The following is an 8861-nucleotide window of genomic DNA, read 5'->3' on the forward strand; positions in this document are numbered from 1 at the left end:
AAATGCTTTATTGCACAAATAGAACTTTATCTAACAAATCACTTTCAAAAATAACAGGTCAACTGTTTTAATTTGTTTATGTCACTTATAACTTACCTATTTCTGTATCAGGTAGGAATGTTTTCTGCTTTAAGTAACACAAAAGATCCAAGTGGCAATGGTTCTTCAAATAGGGGTTTTTCTCAGATAACAAGAAGTCTAAAGGAGCTGGCCACTGGCATTGGTTTAGTGACTCAGTGATATCAGGGGCTCAGATTCCTTTAGCCTTTCTGTCATGGAAACAAGATGGCCATTGCAGTTCAAGCCAATGTGTCTGTATTCAAGACAAAAAGAAGGGGAAGCAGGGCCTTCCACATCTGATCCTTTTCTCATAAATGTAAAATCTTTTCTAGAAATTTAGATCAGACTTGTGTTCATCTGCTAGCCATAAATGTACAACATGATCACCCCTTGTTCCCAGGAAAGTGGGAAAATGAAGCTGTACGCCTTTCCAGTCTCACTAATGGAAGGTGGGAAAGGAAAATGGGGATTGGGAATTACCATGGATCAGACAACCAACAGTTTTGCCACCAGTTATAATTAGAGCAGAGGTCATTTTATATTTGAATCTTTTCTGTAATGTCTTCATAAAGCTCACTTTATTATTATTTTTGTTTGTTTTTGAGACGAGTCTCGCTTGGTTGCCCAGGCTGGAGTGCAGTGACGCAATCTCGGCTCACGCAACCTCCACCTCCCAGGTTCAAGTGATTCTCCCACCTCAGCCTCCTGAGCAGCTGGGACTACAGACATGCACCACCGCACCCAGCTAATTTTTTTGTGTTTTTAGTAGAGACCGGGTTTCACCATGTTGGTCAGGCTGGTTTCAAACTCCTGACTTCAAATGATCCGCCCACCTTTGCCTCCCAAAGTGTTGGGATTACAAGCATGAGCCACTGTGCCTGGCACATAAAGCTCACTATAAAACTGCAGTCCTAAGTACTTAAAAATTTCCTCATTGTTGGATATCTAGTTTTGTTTTCAGTGCTAACCTAATATAAAAAAATACTACACAGATATCTTCATGTATGCAATGTTTCTTTTCAAACTTTTTTCCTTTGATCAAAAGTTTCCTTTTCCCAAAAGTAGGCAAGCCATAAGAGTCTATCATTTAATACTGCATTTGAAAACTTGGCTAAACTGAGGTTTCTAAAATTGTTTTTGTTTCTCATATAATTCTGGTGTGAGAAGTTCAGGATGGTGCAGCAGCTTTACAATGTCTTAAATATTCTGGGCTCCATCCAGATTTCTCTTTCATCATTTGAGTATGCAGTTTTCATCTTTTTGTTTATGAAGTATGGTTTATCTCTTGCCTCACATCTACACTCCAGGGAGGGAAATGGCACCACCCCTTCTTGTCATTTATATCTGGGAGCAGAGCATTTTAAGAAACCTTCAACTCGATATCTCATTGGCCAGAATTATGACATATGACCAGCCCTAATTGTAAAGAATGCTGGAAGATGTACCTGGACACATTGCTACTCCTAACAAAAGTGGAGTTCTATTTTGAAAGGGGAGAGTGGATATTGGGTAGGCAGCCAGCAGTCTACTATAAAGGGTTTAGATTACCAACCTGTACCACAGCTAGCTGTGTTATAGCCTCACATTTTTTGCTGATATGATGCTTGGGGTGGGGGTTTGGGAAGTGGGTTGGGGATTGCTTTAATAGAAGTAAAGTGTCAATTGTTTTATATTTCTCTCATAACGTGGCTGGGCATACACTTAGGCATTCTACTCATAGAGAATAAAATTACTGAGAACTAGATAATATTAAGAAGAAGGTGGCTGGGTGCAGTGGCTCACACCTGTAATCCCAGCACTTTGGGAGGCCGAGGCGGGTGGATCACGAGGTCAAGAGTTCAAGACCAGCCTGGCCAACATGGTGAAACCCTGTCTCTACTAAAAATACAAAAATTAGCTGGGCGTGGTGGTGCGTGCCTGTAATCCCAGCTATTAAAGAGGCTGAGGCAGGAGAATTGCTTGAACCTGGGAGGTAGAGGTTGCAGTGAGCCGAGATTGCGCTGCTGCACTCCAGCCTGGGTGACAGAGCAAGACTCCATCTCAGAAAACAAACAAACAAAAAAGGCAATTTTGCATGTGCAATAGACAAGAGGTGTAAAAAATTTTGGCCGAGCATGGTGGCTCATGCCTGTAATCCCAGCGCTTTGGGAGGCCGGGGCAGATGGATCACCTGAGGTCACGAGTTTGAGACTAGCTTGGACATTTCACAACATGGTGAAACCCCATCTCTACTAAAAATACAAAAAAATTAGCCAGGCATGGTGGCAGACATGTGTAATCCCAGCTACTCAGAAGACTGAGGCAGAATCGCTTGAACCCGGGAGGCAGAGGTGGCGGTGAGGCAAGATCACGCCACTGCACTCTAGCCTGGGCAACAGAGCAAGACTCCCATCTCCCAAAAAAAAAAAAAAAAAAAATTAATGCAGTTACACCTCTACTAGCAAGCTGGAGGATCTCTAATAGTTAACCAAGAAACCATTTTTATAATGACTTACCTTGGCATAAAGCCATTTTTCAGGAGGATAGAGACAAATAGAAATAAACATTTCATTGTATTTATTTATTTTTGATATAGAGTCTTGCTCTGTTATCCAGGCTGGAGTGCAATGGTGTGATCTCAGCTCACTGCAACCTCTGCCTCCCGAGTAGCTGGGATTACAGGTGCCCATCACCATGCCGGGCTAAGTTTTGTATTTTTAGTAGAGAGAAGCTTTCGCCATGTTGTTCAGTCTGGTCTTGAACTCCTGACCTCGGGTGATCCGCCCACCTCAGCCTCCTAAAGTGCTGGTATTATAAGTGTGAGCCACTGTGCCTGGCCAGAAATAAACATTTTAAACCAGAGAAGCAGATATTTTAAACCAAAAGGTCTTTACCAGCTGCATCTGTTGACTTCCTGTAACTTCAGGGCTATCCCCCTACCCCTACCCAGCTCCCAGCCTAGGGCACTGTATTAGCACACTGCTGACAAAGAAATACCTGACAATGGGCAATTTACAAAAGAAAGAGGTTTAATTGGACTTACAGTTCCACGTGACTGGGGAAGGTCTTATAATCATGATGGAGGGCAAAAGGCACTTCCTACATGGCAGCAGCAAGAGCGAATGAGGAAGGGCTGGGCACAGTAGCTCATGCCCGTAATCCCAGGTGTGAGCCTGGGATTTGGGAGGCCAAGGCCAGTGGATCACCTGAGGTCAGGAGTTCAAGACCAGCCTGACCAACATAGTGAAGCCTCTACAAAAAGTACAAAAAAATTAGCCAGGCATAGTGGTGCATGCCTGTAATCCCATCTACTCGGGAGGCTGAGGCAGGAGAATTGCTTGAACCTGGGAGGCAGAGGTTGCGGTGAGCCAAGATCAGACCATTACACTCCAGCCTGGGTGACAAGCAAAAATCTGTCTCAAAAAAAAAAAAAAAAAAAATGAGGAAGAAGCAAAAGCAGAAACCCCTGATAAACCCATCAGATCTAACCAGCCTCCATGGTTCAATTACCTCCCCCTGGGTCCCTCCCACAACACGTGGTAATAATGGGAAATACAGTTCAGGGTGAGACTTGGGTGAGGACACAGCCAAACCATATCATTCCAATCCCCTGGCCCCTCTAAATCTCATGTCATCACATTTCAAACCAGTCATGCCTTCCCAACAGTCCCCCAAAGTCTTATTTCAGCCTTAACCCAAAAGTCCACACTCCAAAGTCCCATCTGAGACAAGGCAAGTCCCTTCCCCCATGAGCCTGTAAAATCAAAAGCAAATTAGTTACTTCTTAGATACAATGGGGGTACAGGCATTGGGTAAATAGCCATTCCAAATGGGAGAAATTGTCCAAAACAAAGGGGCTGTGGGCCCCATGCAAGTCCAAAATCCAGTGGCGCAGTCAAATCTTAAAATGATCCCCTTTCACTCCATGTCTCGCATCCAGGTCACGCTGATGCAAGAGGTGGGTTCCCATGGTCTTGGACAGCTCCACCCCTGTGGCTTTGCAGGGTACAGTACAGCCTCCCTCCTGGCTGCTTTCACAGGCTGGTGTTGAGTGCCTGTGGCTTTTCCAGGTGCATGGTGCAATGGTAGGTGAATCTACCATTCTGGGGTCTGGAGGATGGTCACCCTCTTCTCACAGCTCCACTAGATGATACCCCAGTAGGGACTCCGTGAGGGCTCCAACCCCACATTTCCCTTCCATACTACCCTAGCAGAGGTTCTCCCTGAGGGCCCCACACCTGCAGCAAACTTGCCTGGGTATCTAGATGTTTCCATACATCTTCTGAAATCTAGGTGGAGGTTCCCAAACCTCAATTCTTGACTTCTGTGCACCCACAGGCTCAACACCACATGGAAGGTGCCAAGGCTTGGGGCTTCCACCTCTAAAGCCACAGCCTGACCTGTACATTGGCCCCTTTCAGCCATGGCTGGAGCAGCTTGCACAAAAGGACCAAGCCCCTAGGCTGCACATAGCATGGGGACCCTGGGCCTTGCCCACAAAACCACTTTTTCCTCCTGGGCCTCCGGGCCTGTGATGGGAGGGGCTGCTATAAAAGTCTCAGACATGGCCTGGTGACATTTTCCCCATGGTCTTGAGGATTATCATCAGGCTCCTTGCTACTTATGCAAATTTCTGCAGCTGGCTTGAACTTCTCCCCAGAAAATGGGTTTTTCTTTTCTATCGTAGTCAGGCTGCAAATTTTCTGAAGTTTAATGCTCTGTTCCCCCTTTAAAACTGAACGACTTTAGCAGTACCCAAGTCACCTCTTGAATGCTTTGCTGCTTAGAAATTTCTTCAGCTGGCTGGGCGTGGTGGCTCACGCCTGTAATCCCAGCATTTTGGGAGGCTGAGGCAGGCAGATCATGAGGTCAGGAGATCGAGACCTTCCTGGCAAACACAGTGAAACCCCGTCTCTACTAAAAAAATACAAAAAAATTAGCTGGACATGGTGGTGGGTGCCTGTAGTCCCAGCTACTCGGGAGGCTGAGGCAGGAGAATGGCATGAACCCAGGAGGCAGAGGTTGCAGTGAGCCGAGATCGCGCCACTGCACTCCAGCCTGGGCAATAGAGTGAGACTCCGTCTCACAAAAAAAAAAAAGAAAAAGGAAAAAACAAATTTATTCAGCCAGGCCGGGTGCAGTGGCTCACGCCTGTAATCCCAGCACTTTGGGAGGCCAAGGCAAGTGGATCACTTGAGGTCAGGAGTTCAAGACCAGCCTAGCCCACATGGTGAAACCCCCGTCTCTACTAAAAAAAATACAAAAATTAACCGGGCATGGTGGTGTGTGCCTGTAATCCCAGCTACTCAGGAGGCTGAGTCAGGAGAATTGCTTGAACCTGGGAGGCGGAGGCTGCAGTGAGCTGAGATCGTGCCACTGCACTCCAGCCTGGGCGACAGAGCAAGACTCTATCGAAAAAAAAAAAAAAAAGAAGTTTCTTCAGCCAGATACCCTAAATCCTCTCTCACAAGTTCAAAGTTCCACAAATCTCTAACGCAGGGGCAAAATGCCACCAGTTTCTTTGCTAAAACACAAAAGTCACCTTTGCTCCAGTTCCCAAGGAGTTCCTCATCTCCATCTGAACCACCTCGGCCTGGATTTATTGTCCATATCGCTATCAGCATTTTGGGCAAAGCCATTCAACAAGTCTAGGAAGTTCCAAACTTTCCCACATTTTCCTGTCTTCTTCTAGCCCTTCAAACTGTTCCAATCTCTGCTTGTTACCCAGTTCCAAAGTCGCTTCCACATTTTCGGGTATCTTTTCAGCAACACCCCACTCTACTGGTACCAATTTACTGCATTAGTCCGTTCTCACACTGCTAGTAAAGACAAACCCAAGACTGGGCAATTTACAAAAGAAAGAGGTTTAATTTGACTTACACTTCCACGTGGCTGGGGAAGGTCTCACAATCATGGCAGAGGGCAAAAGGCACTTCTCATATGGCAGCAGGAAGAGAGAATGAGGAAGAAGCAAAAGTGGAAACCCCTCATAAACCCATCAGATCTCGTGAGACTTATTCACTATCACAAGAATAGCATGGGAAAGGCTGGCCTCCATGATTCAATTACCTCCCCCTTGGTCCCTCCCACAACATGTGGGAATTCTGGGAGATATAATTCAAGTTGAGATTTGGGTGGGGACACAGCCAAACCATATCAGGCACCCTGTGGAATCCCAGGACTCCAAAAAAGTCTAAAAATCACTGGTTGTTTTATCATGTTTTCCCACTCCAGATAAAAAAATCTGTATTGGGGGAATGATTATTTTAAAATCCCAAATAGGCCAGGCACAGTGGCTCACGCCTGTAATCCCAGCACTTTGGAGGGAGAGGTGGGTGGATCACCTGAAGTCAGGAGTTCAAGACCAGCCTGGCCAACATGGTGAAACCCCATCTCTACTAAAAGTACAAACAATTAGCCAGGTGTGGTGGTAGGCACCTGTAATCCCAGCTACTCAGAAGGCTGAGGCCGGAGAATTGCTTGAACCCGGGAGGCAGAGGTTGCAGTGAGCCAAGGTCATGCTATTACACTCCAGCCTGGGCAATAAGAGCGAAACTCCCTCTCAAAAAAATAAAAATAAAATAAAAATCCCAAATAATATAGAAACTTAATGTCAAAAATTCCAGAGAATTGGCCAGGCATGGTAGTTCACGCCTGTAATCCCTGCACTTTGGGAGGCCGAGGCGGACAGATCACCTGAGGTTGGGAGTTTGAGACCAGCCTGACCAACATGAAGAAACCCCGTCTCTACTAAAAATACAAAATTAGCAGGGCATGATGGCGCATGCCTGTAATCCCAGCTACTCAGGAGACTGAGACAGGAGAATTGCTTGAACCCAGGAGGCGGAGTTTGTGGTGAGCCAAGATCATGCCATTGCACTCCAGCCTGGGCAACAAGAGCGAAACTCCGTCTCAAAAAGAAAAAAAAAGTTTCAAGAGAACTACTGTATAATTTACTTTTAACTTTCAGTCTTTTTGACACTATGTATATATTCATTATATATACTTAAATATTACATTTGCAGTATCCTGTAGCAAAACTTTTTCTCTTAATATACCAGTTAACATCTTTCCATGTAAATTCATGTAAATCTATTTCATCCTTTTTAACAGCTGCACAGAATTTCCTTGAATGTTAGCATCATAATTTTTTTTTTTTTTGGGACGGCGTTTCGCTCTTGATGCCCAGGCTGGAGTGCGATGGCACAATCTTGGCTCATTGCAACCTCCCGCTCCCAGGTTCATGTGATTCTCCTGCTTCAGCCTCCCGAGTAGCTGGGATTACAGGCATGCGCCACCACGCCCGGCTAATTTTGTATTTTTAGTAGAGACAGGGTTTCTCCATGTTAGTCAGGCTGGTCTTGAACTCCTGACCTCAGGTGATCCACCCGCCTCGGCCTCCCAAAGTGCTGAGATTACAGGCATGAACCACCGTGCCTGGCCGTTAGCATCATAATTTTTTTTTTTTTTTTTTTTTTGAGATGGAGTATCACTGTCACCCAGGCTGGAGTGCAGTGGCATGATCTCGGCTCACTGCAACCTCCGCCTCCCAGGTTCAAGCAACTCTCCTGCCTCGGCCTCCCAAGTAGCTGGGACTACAGGTGTGTGCCACCACGCCCGGCTAATTTTTTTATTTTTAGTAGAGACAGGGTTTCACCATATTGGTCAGGCTGGTCTCGAACTCCTGACCTCATGTTCCACCCGCCTCGGCCTCCCAAAGTGCTAGGATTACAGGTGTGAGCCACCGCACCTGGCTGTTAGCATCATAATTTAATAAAGTACCATCAATGGACACTTAACCAAATAGTGAAAATCCTTATACATACAAGTTCTCATACTCATTTACTTAATTAGGTTAACTTTGTAGAAGTGGAATTGCTGAGTTAAATTATATGTTTTAAAGTTATACGTGCATTTTTAAAATGCAAATATGTGGCTGGGAGCCGTGGCTCCCGCCTGTATCCCAGCTCTTTGGGAGGCTGAGGCAGGTGGATCACTTGAGCCCAGGAGTTTGAGACTGGCCTGGGCAACATAGGGAGACCCATCTCTATTATTACAAAAAAATTTGCAAATATTCGCTTATGTGGTATGCACTGTAAATAATTTTCCTTTTTAAAATTGTGCTTTCTGCAATGCAAACTTTTTGTTATGTCATTTTGTTACTGTGGTTAAAAAACATGAAATCTGGCCCTAAGCCAAATTTCTGAAGCCCTCATATAAACTCTACACCCTGACCTCGTCATTGTGTACATTCACAGGTTGAACATACCCAGGGAGAAAGAAAATCCCTTATCTCGCCGGTCCCAGGCTGGAGTGCAAGGGCACTATCACAGTTCACTGGAGCTTCAACCTCCCATGCTCATGAAACCCTTCAGGCTCAAAAAATCATCTTGCCTCAGCCTCCCAAGAAACTGGGAGTACATACTTGGCTAACTTTTTTTTTATTTTAAGAGATGAGCTCTCGCCACATTTCCCAGACTGGTCTCCTGAGCTCAACCAATCCCATCTTGGCCTCCTAAAGTGCTTGGCTAACAAGTGTGAATCACTGCACCCAGCCTGCTTGGCCTGCTCTGCCATCTTGTATACTTGATTGATTGATTGATTGATTGACTGATTGAGACAGAGTCTCACTCTTGTCACCCAGGCTGGAGTGCAGTGGTGAGATCTCGGCTCACTTCAACCCCCACCTCCCAGGTCCAGCTGATTCTCCTGCCTCAGCCTCCCAAGTAGCTAGGATTACAGACACCAGCCACCACACCCGGCTAATTTTTGTATTTTTAGTAGAGACAGGGTTTCATCATATTGGCTAGGCTGGTCTCAAA

The sequence above is a fragment of the Homo sapiens genome, chromosome 14 (assembly GCF_000001405.40).
Source record: "Homo sapiens chromosome 14, GRCh38.p14 Primary Assembly".
NCBI lineage: Eukaryota > Metazoa > Chordata > Mammalia > Primates > Hominidae > Homo > Homo sapiens.